General features: G+C 39.5%; 1 protein-coding gene across 11 annotated transcripts in view; it reads left to right on the forward strand.

Annotated features, from left to right (window-relative positions):
• SPAG1 (sperm associated antigen 1) overlaps positions 1–17568 on the forward strand; it is an 83867-nt gene that overhangs the window by 27298 nt on the left and 39001 nt on the right. For all 11 annotated transcript variants that reach the window (XM_047422128.1, NM_001374321.1, NM_172218.3 and 8 more), the window contains exons 8-10: positions 1785–1915; positions 6055–6161; positions 8777–8933. In XM_047422128.1, coding sequence (XP_047278084.1) covers positions 1785–1915; positions 6055–6161; positions 8777–8933 — 395 coding nt within the window. The remainder of the gene's footprint in view (positions 1–1784; positions 1916–6054; positions 6162–8776; positions 8934–17568) is intronic.

The raw sequence follows: 17568 nt of genomic DNA on the forward strand, positions 1-17568 counted from the left end.
TCTTTGGAGAAGTCTTACTTCACCTTCCAAACTAGGTTAAATCTCCATCTCACCCCACCCACCTCACCTCCCAATTTATAGGCTCTTATAGCAGTCTTACCTCTCCTTTGTAGCACTTGTCAGAAGTATAATTTAAGCTTGTGTGATTTGATAATAACTAGAATGTAAGATTTGTAACAGCAGAACCCATTTGTCAAGGATTTTTACACCATTGTATCCCCAAGGCCCAACAAAGTACCTGGTTCATAGTAGATGTTCAATAAATATGTATATGAACTTCTGAAGTTCTTAACAGCCTATGAAAAGTAGACTAAGTTTTTAAAATGTTGTTACAGATAAACTGTTCTTATAGAATCACTAATGCTACCTTAGCACTAAACTCTGTACAATCTTTTTTCCACCTTTGGAAATAAGATAGATTTTTTTCAATGTTGTTGGTGTATCTAAAGAAGTTTTCTCAGATTGTTTAAATGAAGATACGAGGTAAAGAGGATATATGATGGATCATTCATTCAGTACAGCCTCCCCTGTTCAGGCAGGTGGATGTCAGCCTTGATAACTGTTCTTTCTTTTCTTGTAGGTTTATACCAGAGATTCTCTTGTCTATTACAGGTTACAAAGCTCTTTTCTTCTTTTTTGAGGAGTCATATAGTTGAAGAATTAAAGCAGCATAGTATGATGGTTAAGGGAATTCAGACTACCACTTTCTGACCTTGGGCAGATTCTTTTTTTTTTTTTTTTTTTTTTTGAGACAGGGTCTCACTCTGTTATCCAGGCAAGAGTGCAGTGGTGTGATCATAGCTCGCTGCAGCCTCAAACTCCTGGGCTCCAGGGATCCTCCCACCTCAGCCTCCTGAGAATACTGGGACTACAGGTGTGAGTCACCATACCTGGATAATTTTCTCTTGTGTTTTTTGTAGAGACAGGCTCTCATGATGTTGCCCAGGCTGGTCTCGAACCTCTGGCCTCAAGCCATGCTGTCACCTCGGTCTCCCAAAGTGCTGAGATTACAGGGGTGAGCCACCATGCCTGGCTTCAAAAAATGTGTTTGGTATTTGATATTTGATGTTAACTTACATCAACGGTTTTTTTTAAAGTGATCTATAGGTATTTATCTTTTTCTACCTTCATTTTTTATTCCAGTAACTAAAGCTCAGATTCCAGATCTATCAGTATTTAAATTCCCATAATGCCTCTAAAGCCTGAGTTAACTTTAAGGCTATTAACTGGATATTTAAGCATCTGTTTAAATATTGATTTAGTATGCTTGTAGAATTGTATTTTATTATTTTTGATAATATAGGCTGTATTTGTTTGCTAAGGTTGCCGTAACAAAGTACCACAGACTGAGCGGCTTAAACGAGAGAAATTTCTTTTCTCACACTTCTGGAGGCTGGAAGTTTGAGATCAAGGTGCTAGCAGGGTTGGTTTTTTCAAGGCCTCTCTCCTTGGCTTGTAGGTGGCCGTCTTCTCCCAGTGACTTCACAGTCTGTCCATACATGTATGTCCAAATATCTTCTTCTTATAAGGAAACCATTTTTATGGGATCTGGGCCCCCTCTCATGACTTCATTTCACCTTAATTAGCTTTTTAAAGACCCTATCTCCAAATACAGTCATGTTCTGAGATACTGTGGGGTTAGGACTTCAACATACGAATGTTGGGGGATACAATTCAGCCCATAGACAGGTTATAATTGTTTTATGTATAACTGAAGCTGAATTTCTCTACATTCTTATGTTTACCTTAGGCTTGCTTGTTGCCAGTAACTGTTTCTTTTCTAGGAGCATATCAGCGCTTCCCACTGTAGTTGCCTATAACAATCGAGCTCAAGCAGAAATCAAATTACAGAACTGGAATAGTGCTTTTCAGGATTGTGAAAAGGTCTTGGAGTTAGAACCTGGAAACGTAAAGGGTAAAAAATATTATAGAATTCTTTTACATTTACAGCAGGATCCATTAATAAAGACCATTTGTAGATACTTGTAATGTTTACATTAAAAATATTTCAGATAAACTCAAATTTCTGTATGTGAATCACCAACTTCATAAAGTTGCTTTTAAATTGAACTTGTAAGTTAAGCTCCTGATTATTTGTACTGAAGTAGCTAATAATCCCAGAGGATTTAATAAAATACATATATATTTTAAAGAAGTATCTCAATAAACAAAAAACCAACAACAACAAAAATAAAATAAAAGAGAAGTATCTTGGCCAGGCACAGTGGCTCACACCTATAATCCCAAAATTTTGGGAGGCCGAGGTGAGACGATTGCTTGAGTCTAGGAGTTTGAGACCAGCCTGGGCAACACAGCAAAACTCTGTGTCTCAAAAAAAAAACTCAAGCTTGCATTTGAACATTCTTTTTCTCCAAAAAAAATTAAGTATAACTTAATATAGATTTTCTGGTATTTATAAATATAATAAAATAATAAGCCCACACTGGACCTCTAGAACCTTCTCCCAGCTTCTTTGTGGATATTTCCACCTAGGTGGCTATATATAATTTTGTTTGTTTGTATGTTTGTTTTTTTGAGACTGAGTCTCATTCTGTCACCCAGGCTGGAGTGCAGTGGCGTGATCTCGGCTCACTGCAACCTCTGCCTCCTGGATTCAAGTGGTTCTCCTGCCTCAGCCTCCCAAGTAGCTGGGACTATAGGCGTGCACCACCACGCCTGACTAATTGTTGTATTTTTAGTAGAGAGACGGGGTTTCACCATGTTGGCCAGGCTGGTCTTGAACTCCTGACCTCAGGTGATCCACCTGCTTCAGCCTCCTAAAGTGCTGGGATTACAGGCGTGAGCTACTGCTCCCAGCCTGTTTTTGTTTTTTTGAGATAGGGTCTCACTCTGTCACCCAGCCTGGTGTGCAGTGGTGCAATCTTGGCTTACTGCAACCTCCACTTCCCAGTCTCAAGTGATCCTCCCACCTCAGCCTACCAAGTAGCTGGGACTACAAGCACGTGCCACCACACCCAGCTAATTTTGTTTGTATTTCTTGTAAAGATGGGGTTTCACTGTGTCGCCCAGGCTGGTCTCAAACTCCTGAGCTCAAGTGATCTGCCCACCTCGACCTCCCAAAGTGCTGGGATTACAGGCATGAGCCACCAAGCCTGGCCTGCTATAAATAATTTAATTTTCATTTTAAATTAATAATTTGAATAACTTAATTCTAAATTAAATTTGTCCAAAACTGACTCTTTCTGCCAAAAACCTGCACTCTATTTTGATTCCCTGTCCCTCTGACTGACCACCTTGTCATGGTTCAGGCCTGAAATATGCAAATCAGACTCTATTCTCCTTTTCTGTTATCAAGAAGGAGTCATTCCAAGAGGGAGTGACATACATTATAATAGACACATTATATTTCTTTAAATTTTTATGGATTCAAATAAATATAAACACTTTTTTCACATGGAATGTATCCCTTTTTGCCTATAAACATGGTGGAGGTGGCAGAAGCCATGGGAGTGCTAAGGGGAAGCCTGGTGCATCACCTGCCACTGTCATTGCCATGGATTGCCCTCCATTTACCAATAAAGTCCTGTTGGGCCTGTGTTTTACGCAAGCTGGTCTCTGTCACAGAGTATGGCTGGGCTCCCAGCTTTAGGCAGCAGCCCACTGAAGGTTTTGCCAACCCCATACCACTGCTCTGCCAGGCCCCGTGCCAAGCACTTTACATGTATTAACTCTGTTAATTTTAACAAAACTCTCGGCCAGGCTTAGTGGTTCATGTCTGTAATCCCAGCACTTTGGGAGGCCGAGGTGGGCAGATCACCTGAGGTTAGGAGTTCGAGACCAGCCTGGCAAACATGGCAAAACTCCATCTCTACTAAAAATTAAAAAAAAAAAAAAAATGGAGGGGTGCAGTGGCTCATGCTTGTAATCCCAGCACTTTGGGAGGCTGAGGTGGGTGGATCACTTGAGGCCAGGAGTTCGAGACCAGCCTGGCCAATGTGGCGAAACTCCATCTCTACTAAAAACACAAAAAATTAGCTGGGCATGGTGGCAGGCACCTGTAATCCCAACAACTTGGGAGGCTGAGGCAGGAGAATCACTGGAACCCAGGAGGCAGAGGTTGCAGTGAGCTGAGATCACGCCACTGCACTCCAGCCTGGGCGACAGAACGAGAATCCATCTCAAAAAAAACCATAATAAATTTTAAAAAAAATTACTAGACATGGTGGTGGGCACCTGTAGTCCCAGCTACTTGGGAGGCCGAGGCAGGAGAATTGCTTGAACCTGGGAGGCAGAGGTTGTACTGAGCTGAGATCACGCCACTGCACTTCAGCCTAGGGGACAAAGAAAGACTCTGTTTCAAAAAAAATAAATAAATACAGAATATGTTAGCATTAGGTAAAGCTGAGTTAAGGGACACAGGAACTCATTGTACTATCTCTGCAACTTTTCTGTAAATCTCCAATGATTCCAAAATAAAAAGTTTTAAAAAAGGATAATCATTATGTCATGAATATTTCTTCATAGAAATTCCCTTCAGAAATCTGTGTAGCAATAGCAATAGCTAAATTATATTTAAAGTGCAGTGCTACAATTTTAATTAAATTTATAACAAAATGATTTCTCATTTAGATTTTCATAGCTCATTCTAACACTAAAATTCAAATTGGTCAAATTTATAATTATGTTTTAAAATAGCATATTAAAATATGTCAGATAAAATTTCTAACTTTTCAGGCAGGCGCGGTGGCTCATGCCTGTAATCCCAGCACTTTGGGAGGTTGGGGCAGGCGGATCACGAGGTCAGGAGATCGAGACCATCCTGGCTAACACGGTGAAACCCCGTCTCTACTAAAAATACCAAAAAAAATTAGCTGGATGTGGTGGCATGAGCCTGTAGTCCCAGCTACTTGGGAGACTGAGGCAGGAGAATCGCTTGAACCCGGGAGGCAGAGGTTGCAGTGAGCCGAGATTGTGCCACTGCACTCCAGCATGGGCAACAGAGCAAGACTCTGTCTCAAAAAAAAAAAAAAAAAAATTCTCACTTTTCAGAATTACCAAACTTGATTCTTTTTCAAAGTAATGACTTATTACACAAAGTTCTCCTTATATAATAGTTAATGATGAGTCTAGAGAGGCATTCATTGTCAGTATTAAATAATTACCAAATTATACATTGAAACGTACCCAAAAAATCAAATGCGAATTATCAAAGTGCTTAATTTCTGACCTAACTGACTTAATCATCAGGATTCTCTCAGTTCCCTATGCTAAGTCACTCCTTCTAATCATTTTAGAGATTGCTATACAGATGTCACTAATGAGCCACATTCTGAGCTAGATGCTGGTCAGTAATATACTTTTTTTTTCTTTTTTTTTTTTTTTTTTGGAGACAGAGTCTTGCTCTGTCACCCAGGCTGGAGTACAGTGGCACAATCTTGGCTCACTGGAACCTCCACCTCCCAGGCTCAAACAATTCTCCTGCCTCAGTCTCCCGAGTAGCTGGGATTACAGATGTGTGCTACCATGCCAAGCTAATTTTTTTTTTGTATTTTTAGTAGAGATGGGATTTTGCCATGTTGGCCAGGCTGGTCTTGAACTCCTGGCCTCAAGTGATCTGCCCACCTCAGGCCCCCAAATTGTTGGGATTACAGGTGTGAGCCACTGTGCCTAGCCAATATACTAAATTTTGATAAGGGATTTTATGTTTTCAAAAAGTGGCTAAATAATACTCGCCATAATTATAAAAAGGAAAGGATTATTATCAGTGAAAATCATTCCGATATTGCAATACAATGTGTTGCCTGTGAAGGGTTGAGGTATGAAATCTCTTAGTTCTTGGAAAAGCTGGCGGGGCCTGGGGCTGCCAGAGGGCCAGAGGGTTGTTATAGAGGGGACAGCTGGCTGATGTAGCCTCTTTTATGTACCTCAGTGTCATCTCCTATGTGTGTATCAACATGAAAAAGGGTGTAGTTGAGCTTTGGGTAATTACATCCTAAAGTATTCTGTGCTGCTCATATCTTCCACTTGCCAAATATGTTGTAACCATAATGCCACATATTAAAAAACATAACTTTTATATTGGTAAATTTTCAGCTCTTCTGCGTCGTGCTACTACATATAAACATCAAAACAAGCTCCGGGAAGCTACAGAAGATTTGAGTAAAGTACTAGATGTTGAGCCTGATAATGATTTGGCCAAGGTAAGTATAGAATGTGATTTCTCACCTAATTCTGTAGTTGGCTGTTTCTGTATTTATTTTAAAGTGGTATCAATCTTGCCAAACAAATTATGTTGAAGATCAGGTCACAGCTTTAAAAGGTAGGTATATTCCAGACACCCCAAAACGTTAACATCTATTTCAAGTGGAAGAAAGCAGAATCTTAAAATTTTTTTTCAAAACTATAAACCTTCCTCTGAAAGACAAATATCAATTTTTCTTTTTCCTATAGTGTTGTAGGCAATGTTTTTCTCTGAGCCATGTGGAGTGGTATAGAAGGTACCTTCCTAGGTAGGATTAGGGGTGAACTCTGTGGCCATTGAAGAGTGTTTCTCTTTGTAATGAGCATGGTAGCATTTGCTACCTGACTGAGCAGACTGACTCAGTTATACACTTAGGGGATCTGTATTCACGCCTAAAGAGTAGAGGTAAGTGTCAAGAACTGAGATTTTCCCCTGCTTACAAATGAACAAGGTGGCCTACCAGAGGATACAAGATATCCTGAGTCAAACACGAAAAGACTTTGTCACTCCAAGCAGATGAGCTTCACGTTCATGTCAGTTCCCCTTGCTCCCAAGTCCCACAGGGGTGACATAGAGTGGCCCAGATGGATGTTGCACACTCAATGGATTTATGTGATGGCTGACAAATCAAAAATTTAGGAAACCAGCTGAGTGCAGTGGCTCACGTCTGTAATCCCAGCTCTTTGGGAGGCTGAGGCAGGCAAATCACCTGAGGTCAGGAGTTCAAGACCAGCCTGGCCAACACTGCACTCCAACTGGGGCAACAGAGTGAGACTCCATCTCAAACAAACAAAAATTTAGGAAACCTGCTTCTTTTATGATGGGATATAAGCAAACCTGCCCAATCTCTGCTCCATAGGGAAGCATCACCTTTATTACACTGGAGAGCCAACACACCTGCCCTCTCCGCTGCAGATGAATACTATTTCTGTTTGCCAAGGTTGTTCTCAGTACAAACATCCTTAGAGATGTCCAGAAAGAAGGTGGTTTAGTGCCTCTGCTGGCAGTATAGTCAGAAATAAGAGAAACCCATGGAAAAATTGTTACTAAGTTTCCACATACACCTATTGGGTTACCTATCCCACTGTCTCTGAGTGGCAGCTAATGTTCCTAGAATATCAGCTGCTTTGTCAAGTCAACATTTTAGGTTTAGGTTTAGGGCCTGGCTTAGTATTTCCTTTTTGTAATGGTTATGTTTATTTATTTTTGAGACAGGGCCTTGCTCTGATGCCTCAACTGTAGTGTGGTGGGAACATGGCTCACTGCAGCCTCCACCTCCTAGGCTCAAGCAATCCTGCCATCTCAGCCTCCTGTGTAGCTGAGACCACAGGTGCACGCCACCTCCCAAAGTGCTAGGATTACAGGCATGAGCCATTGTGCCTGGTTTCAAATGCATTTTTATCTTAACCATATGCAAAGATTAACTCAAAATGGATCATATACTTTTTGATGTAAGATATAAAATATAAAAGTTCTAGAAGAAAACATAGGAGAAAATCTTTATGACCTTAGACAAATATTTCTTATGTAAGACATGAAAAGTACAATCCATAAAAGAAAAAGTTGATATATTGGACTTCATCAAAATTTAAAACATATACTTTTCAAAGACACTATTAGAAGAATAAAAGACAAGCCACAGCTGGGCACGGTGGCTCACACCTGTAATCCAAGCACTTCAGGAGGCTGAGGCAGGCAGATCACTTGATCCCAGGAGTTTAAGACCAGCCTGGGCAAGACAGCTGAACTTCATCTCCACAAAAAATTTAAAAAGTTAGCCAGACATGGTGGTGTGGGCCTGTAGTCCTAGCTACTCGGGAGGCAGGGGTGGGAGGATAATTTGAGCCCGGGAGGTCAAGGCTGCAGTGAGCTGTGATTGCACCACTGTACTCCAGCCGGGGCAGCAGAGGGAAACCCTGTCTCAGAAACAACAACACCAACAACAACAAAACAAAACAAACAAAAAAGCCACAGACCACAGACTGGGAGAAAATATTTGAAAATCGTATATCCAACAAAGGATGATATATCTATTTTTCATCAGAGTCAGCATAAAATATTTCAGAATTTTCAGCATTACTCTAAAACAGTAATGTGGGCTGGGTGTGGTAGCTCACGCCTGTAATCCCAGAACTTCAGGAGGCTGAGGTGAGAGGATTGCTTGATCCCACCGTTTGAGACTAGACTGGGCAACATAGTGAGACCTCATCTCTATATTTTAAATAAACAAACAGCGTATGTAGCATGATTTCATTTGTGTAAAACTGTACATCTCTGTGGGTATATATGCATAGAAACATCTAGAAAGATGATTATCAAAATGTTAATAGTAGTATCTGAATGGCAAGATTTTAGGTGATTTTTTCTTTATTTTTTATACTTGTTACACCGCTTTTTGTGTGTGTGTGTTTTTTTTTTACAGTGGACATCTATGATTACAATCAAAGGCCACCAAAAAAAAGCCTTGTCTTAGTTGTATTCATTTTTCAACATCTTTATGTTTTTAACCTGAAAGAATGGTTATATTTATTATTAGAGGAAAATATTTTCTTTAATATGGTAATTATGTTGCAGAAAACCTTGTCAGAGGTTGAAAGAGATCTGAAAAATTCTGAAGCTGCATCTGAGACTCAAACCAAAGGGAAAAGGATGGTTATTCAGGAAATAGAAAACTCCGAAGATGAAGAAGGAAAAAGCGGAAGAAAACATGAAGATGGCGGTGGAGATAAGAGTAAAATATTTTTTCTATTTAGGTTATGTAAAAAGCTGCCTTTTAATATGATGAGCTGGCTCAATTTTTCTATTCGTACAGAAATTCGTAATCTATCAGTTTTTCTAGCTTTGCCTTGTAAATTCACAAGCCAGTTTCGCTCATCTTTTTCTTAATACAGCTTGGTAGAATCTCTCAAACCCATTTTCCTTCTTAACCTGTCACCTTTTTCTAGTGCTCAGTTTAATTCCTGGTCATCACCTTTAAATGTAAATGGCTGTGTTTATTTGACACAGACCATTTGCCAGTTAACTTTAAATATCTCTCTTTGATAATTGTTTTGTATATATCTACTTGATTGCAAACAAATGTGTTGGTTTCAAAACAGGTATGGGTAGCCCCATTTATATGCCAAAAATGAACGTATTACTAGAAAATTGCTATGTGTGTTTTTCAAAAATATTTTAAATATGCAAAAGAAATAAGTATAATTTAACACTTGAAACAATATTTTAAGAGAATCTAGACTAGATAAAGGGTTATCTTCATAATATAAAACATCGAAAGTTATGTCAACTTTGAGGGGAAGGATTTGCCTCCTCACATGACAAGGGACATAAAAACTTTTCCCTCCGTCAGCTGGGCGCGGTGGCTCACACCTATAATCCCAGCATTTTGGGAGGCCGAGGCGGGTGCATCATGAGGTCAGGAGTTCAAGACCAGCCTGGCCAACATGGTGAAACCCTGTCTCTACTCCAAATACAAAAATTAGCTGGGTGTGATGGCATGCACCTGTAACCCCAGTTACTCAGGAGGCTGAGGCAGGAGAGTGGCTTAAACCCGGGAGGCGGAGGTTGTGGTGAGCCAAGATGGTGCCATTGCACTCCAGCCTGGGCAATAGAGCGAGACTCCATCTCAAAAAAAAAAAAAGAAAAAGAAAAAAAGGTTTTTCCCTCCTTCTTGAGAACACCTGAGCAACTGGCAGTGGCGGGGCAGTGGAGGGGGGAGATATTATCAATTTTGAAAATCATTCACAAGTAAAAATCAACTTGTAAGTAATTTGACAGAATATTCTAATTTTGAGAGAGATACAAAATGTTCAGTTCATTCAATTTTAAAAATAAAGAACGAGTTTTAATTTTTTTAAGTGACAAAAAATAATGCAATGTATACACTTCAGATTAAAATACAATCAGTTAAGACTGGATAAAGACAAAGGAACAGAAAGGGAGGGAGCGAGAAAGAGGAAGACAATCAGAGAGGTGAGAAGGAAGAGAGAACATAAAAAGGATTGAAAAGGGAGAAATTAAGGTAACCAGTTTTTCAAGGATTCAGGCTTGCCTTTTAGCCAGATTGTAAATACGATCTGGCAGCAAATCTTCTTAGGGTTTATATTGAGCTTTTGCATAATTAACCATATGTCTTACAGTTAAAGGAAACCATTTTAAATCTTATCTGAAGTGAGATGAAGTATAAACTATATTACTTCCTATTATTTTAAAATTGTTATTTTAAAATTTTATATATAGTAAAAATGAACCTTTTGAATATACAGTTCTAATACATGTACGGTTTCATGTAACCATCACCATAGTCAGGATACAGAACAGTTCTACCACCCAAAAAGGCCTTCTTGCTGTCCTTTCAGTGAAACCCTTCCCTCACCCCAGCTCTTCTCTATTCCTATAGCTTTACCTTTTCCAGAATGTCCTATAAATGGAACTGGAAAGTATGTCACCTTTTGAGTCTAGCTTCCTTCACTTAGCATGTCACTGAGATTCATTCATGTAGCTGCATGTATCATTGTCTCATTCCTTTTTACTGCTGAGTAGCATTCCATTAATAGTTGTACCAAAGTTTATACATTCGGTTATTCAAGGACATTCAGGTTATTTCCAGTATTCACTAATCATGAGTAAAAACTGCTATACACACTCATTTGCAGGTTTTTGTGTAAACATATGTTTTCATTTCCCCTGAGTAAATAGCTAAGAGTGGGACTGCTGGGTCATACGGCAAGTATATGTTTAACTTTATTGGAAGTTGCCTGACTGTTTTCCAGAGTGGCTATACCATTTTGCATTGCCATTAGTAACATATGAGAGTTCTAGATGCTTCTCGTCCTTGCCAGCATTTGGTATTGATTTTTTTCCCCTTTTTACCCATTCTATTAGGTGTATAGTGGTTTCTCATCAGTTTTAATTTGCATTTTCCTGATGAGAATCTTTTTATGTGCTCATTTACCATCTCTATATTACTTTTTGTGAAGTGTCTCTTCAAATTATTCCACCAATTTTCAAAAATTGGGTTGTTGTTTTCCTACTGTTAAGTCCTGAGAATTCTTTTTATAATCTTGATGCAAAGTCTTAAAATTTTTTTGTCTGTAGCTTTTTTCATTCTTTTAACAGTCTTTTACAGAGCAAAGGTTTTTCATTTTGTAGAAGTACAATTTATCCAGTTTTTTTAATGGACTGTGCTTTTAATGTTATATCGATGAACACTTTGCCTAAGTCAAAGTCATGAAGATTTTCTTGTAAGTTTTTCTTTTTCAGAGATAGGGTCTTGCTCTGTTGTTCGGGCTAGAGTGCAGAGGTGTGATCATGGCTCACTACAGCTATGATCACTCTTTATTATTTTCTTCCTTCTGCTTGTTTTTATGTTCATTTGCTTCTCTTTTTCTTTTCTTCTTTTTGAGATGGAGTCTCGCCATTTCGCCCAGGCTGGATTCAAGCTCCTGGGCCAAAGATTCTCCCACCTCAGGCTCCCGAGTAAATGGGACTATAGGCACACCACCGCACTCAGCTTGCTCCTCTTTTTCTAAGATAGTTTCTCAAGACAGAAGCTTGGAATATTTATTTGAGAATTTCTCCTCCAAATATAAGCAGTGGATGCTATAAGTTTCTTTCTGATAGAAAGAATATAATTTTTAAGCCAGGCACAGTGGCATGCACTCATAGTCCCAGGGAGCTCAGGAGGCTGAGGGTTGCTTAAGGCCAGAAGTTCAATCCCAGCCTGGGCAACATAACGAGACCCCATCTTTTTTTAGAAAAATAATATAATAGAAATTTTAAGACCAGTAAGTTCCCTTTTATCAGAAAAGTCAATTGAGATGAAGTAGAATAAATAGCCGGAAACTCAGACATAATCTTTTCATCTTAAAATGAAATGAAATCAATTGAACTAGTTTACATTCACCTCTAGTTACATTGAACTAGTTACATTCAAACAAGTTACATATCAAACAGTCATTGTTTGATAGAGTGTGAAAAGAGGTGCTGGAGCCTTGGACACAAGAGAAGCAACCCCAGTCACTTTTAGGAAAATCATGTTAAAGCCCAGAGGAAAGTTATCAAGTTGGAATCTTTACATGTGGTTCTCCATCTCATCACATTCCGGGAAAGAATTCCCAGTCATTATGGGGTATGTTCCAGGACCATGGAAAAAGGCAGCAATTTGTGTTTTTTAACCTTGTCTGGTAATGCTGTCCCTTTATGATCTCCACTCGGGTTGGCCAGGCCCAGTTCATCCCGACTGGGGTATAACATAACTGATGAATTTAATTTAACAACTGACAATTATTGAGCACCTACTCTGTGTCAGGTGCTGAGATAAGACAATTGATAGGCTTTCTTTGCCTCTCCTTCTAAGGGCCAGTATTAACAAATTGCCTATTGGCCAGGATGATTACACCTGGGGATTTGAGTTCATGGGCTTTTTCCTGGAAGCTCCCTATCTGTTTGCCTTCTCTAGTAGAGATCATTTAGAAGGAAGAAGTGGCCATTACCATACAGCTGTAGCTGTCAAAGAGTTTGGTATTTATTCCATCTATCTCCTTACAGAGACGCAATCAGAGGAAAGTGAGCATCTACCCTCCCTTGCAGTGCTGTTGGTGTTGCTACTTAAAAATGAAAGCTAAGAAAATTAAAGTCACTCACAAACAGAAGAATAAATATAGATCAGTATTTCTCTTGTGCTAGAACTGGCAGGATCAGGAGAGTGGAAGTCAGGGATTTCCAGGAGTTCAAACAATCAACAAAATCATAAAGGTGAATAATTTTGATTATGTGAAAATGAAAAACGTGTATGTTAGGCGCCATAAAAAAAACTAAAAGACAAATGACAAACTAGGAAAGATGGCAAAGGGTTGATAACCTTATAATATGAAAAGTTTCTACAAAACAATAAGAAAAAGATGAGGTGCTAGTACAAAACTGGGCGAAGCATACAGACAAATCACTAATGAAGAAATAGAAATGATCAGTAATCTTTGTATTACTCATAAAAATGAAAATCAAATATTCTTTTTCTTTCCTATCAAATTGGCTGAGATAGAAAAAATAGTACCCTTTGTTGTCAAAAGTGAGGTAAGATAAGCATTAAAAATATTTTAATATAATGCATATATAGTAAAATCCATCCTTTTCAAATTCAGTGAATTTTAGTATATTCATGAAGTTGTACAACTATCACCACGATCTAATTTCAGAACATTTTTATCATCCCCAAAAGAAATTCTATACCCATTGGCAGTTACTGCCCATTTTACCCTTCCCCTGGCCCCTGGCAACCACTAGTCTACTTTTGTTTGTATGGATTTGCCTATCTTGAGTATTTCATACAAATGGAATCATAGTATGTAGACTTTTGTATCTGTCTTTCACTTAATGTTTTCAAGGTTCATCTATGTTGCATCTTGCATTAGTACTTCATTCCTTTTTATGTAGAAATAATATTCCATTGTGTAGATAATACCAGATTTTCTTTATTCACCAGTTGATGGACCTTTGGGTTGTTTCCACTTTTTGGCTATTATGAATAATGCTGTCATGAACGCTCATGTACAGATTTTTGTTTGAACAGATGTTTTAGATTTTCTTGTGCATTATTTTGGAGTGGAATTGCTGGATGATATACTAACTCTGTGTTTAACTTTGAGGAAATGCAGACTGTTTTCCAAAGTAGCTATCCCATTTTACATTCCCACCTGCAATAAGGGTTCCAATTTCTTTACATATTTGCCAGCACTTGTTATTGTCTGCCTTTTTGGCTATAGCCATCTTAATGGGCATGTAGTGGTAACTCCTTACGGTTTTAATTTGCATTTTCCTAAGAACTAATTATGTTGACTGTCTCTTCAATCCCTATGGGCTATTTCTATATCCTCTTTGGAGAAATGTCTATTCAAGTTCTTTGCCTTTTTTTTGTTGTTGTTGTTGAGATGGATTTTCACTCTTGTTGCCCAGGCTGGAGTGCAATGGCATGATCTTGGCTCACTACAACCTCCGCCTCCCAGGTTCAAGCAATTCTCCTGCCTCAGCCTCCCAAGTAGCTGGGATTACAGGCTCCCACCACCATGCCCAGCTAATTTTTTGTATTTTTAGTAGAGATGGAGTTTCATCATGTTGGCCAGGCTGGTCTTGAACCCCTGACCTCAGGTGATCCACCTGCCTTGGCCTCCCAAAGTGCTGGGATTACAGATGTGAGCCACTGCGCTCAGCCTCTTTGCCCATTTTTAATTGGGTTATTTATCTTTTTACTGTTGAGTTGTAAGCATTTTTTATATATTCTAGATACTAGACCCTTATTAAATATGATTTGCAAATACTTTTCCCATTCTGTGGGCTATCTTTTAAGTTTTTTGATAATTTCCTTTGATGCAGAAGTTTTTTGTTTTTTTTTTAGGGTGCAGCAACTCATTTTGACTTTTTTTTTTATTATACTTTAAGTTCTAGGGTATATGTGCACAACGTGCAGGTTTGTTACATATGTATACATGTGCCATGTTGGTGTGCTGCACCCATTAACTTGTCATTTACATTAGGTATATCTCCTAATGCTATCCCTCCCCTCACTCCAACCCCATGACAGGCCCCGGTGTGTGATGTTCCTCTTCCTGTGTCCAAGTGTTCTCATTGTTCAATTCCCACCTATGAGTGAGAACATGCAGTGTTTGGTTTTCTGTCCTTGTGATAGTTTGCTGAGAATGATGGTTTCCAGCTTCATCCATGTCCCTACAAAGGACATGAACTCATCCTTTTTTATAGCTGCATAGTATTCCATGGGGTATATGTGCCACATTTTCTTAATCCAGTCTATCATTGATGGACATTTGGGTTGGTTCCAAGTCTTTGCTATTGTGAATAGTGCCACAATAAACATACGTGTGCATGTGTCTTTATAGCAGCATGATTTATAATCCTTTGAGTATATCCCCAGTAATGGGATGGCTGGGTCAAATGGTATTTCTAGTTCTAGATCCTTGAGGAATCGCCACACTGTCTTCCACAATGGTTGAACTAGTTTACAGTCCCACCAACAGTGTAAAAGCGTTTCTATTTCTCCACATCCTCTCCAGCACCTGTTGTTTCCTGACTTTTTAATGATTGCCATTCTAACTGGTGTGAGATGGTATCTCATTGTGGTTTTGATTTGCATTTCTCTGATGGCCAGTGATGATGAGCATTTTTTCATATGTCTGTTGGCTGCATAAATGTCTTCTTTTGAAAAGTGTCTGTTCATATCCTTTGCCCACTTTTTGATGGGGTTGTTTGTTTTTTTCTTGTAAATTTGTTTGAGTTCTTTGTAGATTCTGGATATTAGCCCCTTGTCAGATGAGTAGATTGCAAAAATTGTCTCCCATTTTGTAGGTTGCCTGTTCACTCTGTTGGTAGTTTCTTTTGCTGGATGCACAAGTTTTAAATTTTTATATGAAGTCCAATTTTTTTTTTCAGAGCCCCCCTTAAGAAAGATTTTTTTCAGATTTTTTTTCTTTTGTTGCTTGTACTTTTGATATCATATATAAGAATCCATTGTCAAATCCAAGGTTTAAAAACTTACTCCTGTGTTTTATTTCTTTTTCCTTCCTTCCTTCCTTCCTTCCTTTTTTTAGACAAGGTCTTACTCTGTTGCCCAGACTGAAATGCAGAGTGGCACAATCATAGCTCACTGCAGCCTCTAACTCCTGGGCTCAAGTGATCCTCCTACCTCAGCCTCCCAGGTAGCCTGGACTACAGGCACATGGCAGCATCCCTGCCTAATTTTTTCATTTTTATTTTTTGTAGAGACAGGGGTCTCACTTCGTTACTCAGGGTGGTCTTGAACCCCTGGGCTCAAGACATTCTCCCACCTCAGCCTCCCAAAGTGCTGGGATTACAGGCATGAGCCACTATGCCTGGGCAACTCCTGTGTTTTTCTAAGATTTTTATGATTTTAGCTCTTGTATTTAGGTTATTGGGTTATTGATCCATTTTAATTCTTATATACAGTGTGAGGTAAATGTGTGTGGTATTACATATGTGTGTGTGTATATCCATATATATATGTTTTTTGGTCATAGTTCCTGATTTATACAACTCCCGTAGCCCTTGTTACAGACTTTTGTCATAATGCTGGCTATCTGAGGCTTCAGGAAACAATCTCTCCAGATCTCCTTTCACCTTCCCCAAGGCAGGACTCTAATCTTACTCTGCCTTTCTGATTGTGGGTCAGAAGACCCTCCCCAGAGAGGGTCCTGCCACATACTCTGAGGGAAGGAATGCTGACTTCAAAAATTTTCCTTCCGATAGCTGAACACAGGGAGGTTCCTGGAAGGTGCCTGGCCACCCTAGGCACCTCTTCCTCTGTAACCCTTGCAGTATCCTTTGTAATAAGCCATTAAACATGTTGTCTGGAGTTCAGTGAGCTGCTCCAGCAAATTAATTGAACTCAAAGAGTAGGGGTCATGGGAACCCTAACTTGAAACCTGTTGGTGAGAAGTTCTGGAGGCCCAGACTTGTAACTGGTGTCTGGAGTAGGAGACAGCCTTGGGGACTAAGCCCTCATCCTGTGGAATCTGACACTATCTCCAGGTATATAGCATCAGAACTTAACTGGAAGATGCTCAGCCAGTATCTGCTGCTTGGTGCCTGGGGATAAACCCTCACACATTTGGTCACAGAAGTCTTCTATGTTGATGATTATTGTGGTGGTGTAAGAGTAGAGGAAAAACAGTTTGTGAGAGTTTTTCCAAAAGAGCGTCCAACTTAGTTTTGTTTTCTGTTTTGTTTTTATTTGTTTTTAGTATGTGGAAATCCAGTTGTCACATCACCATTTGTTTAAAAAAAAAAACAAAAAACAAAACAAAAAAACCTGTTCTTTTCCTACTGAATAGACTTGGCACCCTTGTCAAGAATCAACTGGCCAGGCCGGGCGCGGTGGCTCATGCCTGTAATCCCAGCACTTTGGGAGGCCGAGGCGGGCGGATCACGAGGTCAGGAGATCGAGACCATCCTGGCTAACACGGTGAAACCCCGTCTCTACTAAAAATACAAAAAATTAGCCGGGCGTGGTAGCGGGCGCCTGTAGTCCCAGCTACTCGGGAGGCTGAGGCAGGAGAATGGCGTGAACCCGGGAGGCGGAGCTTGCAGTGAGCCGAGATCGCGCCACTGCACTCCAGCCTGGGCGACAGAGCGAGACTCCGTCTCAAAAAAAAAAAAAAAAAAAAAAAAAAAAAGAATCAACTGGCCATAGATGTATGGGTTTACTTATCAACTCTCAGTTCCTTTCCACTGGTCTATGTGTCTTTCCTTATGCCAATACCACACTGTTTTGATTACTCTAGCTTTTAGTAAGTTTTGAAATCCAGAAGAGTGAGACTGGGTGCAGTGGCTCATGCCTG

This window comes from Homo sapiens, chromosome 8 (assembly GCF_000001405.40).
Source record: "Homo sapiens chromosome 8, GRCh38.p14 Primary Assembly".
NCBI lineage: Eukaryota > Metazoa > Chordata > Mammalia > Primates > Hominidae > Homo > Homo sapiens.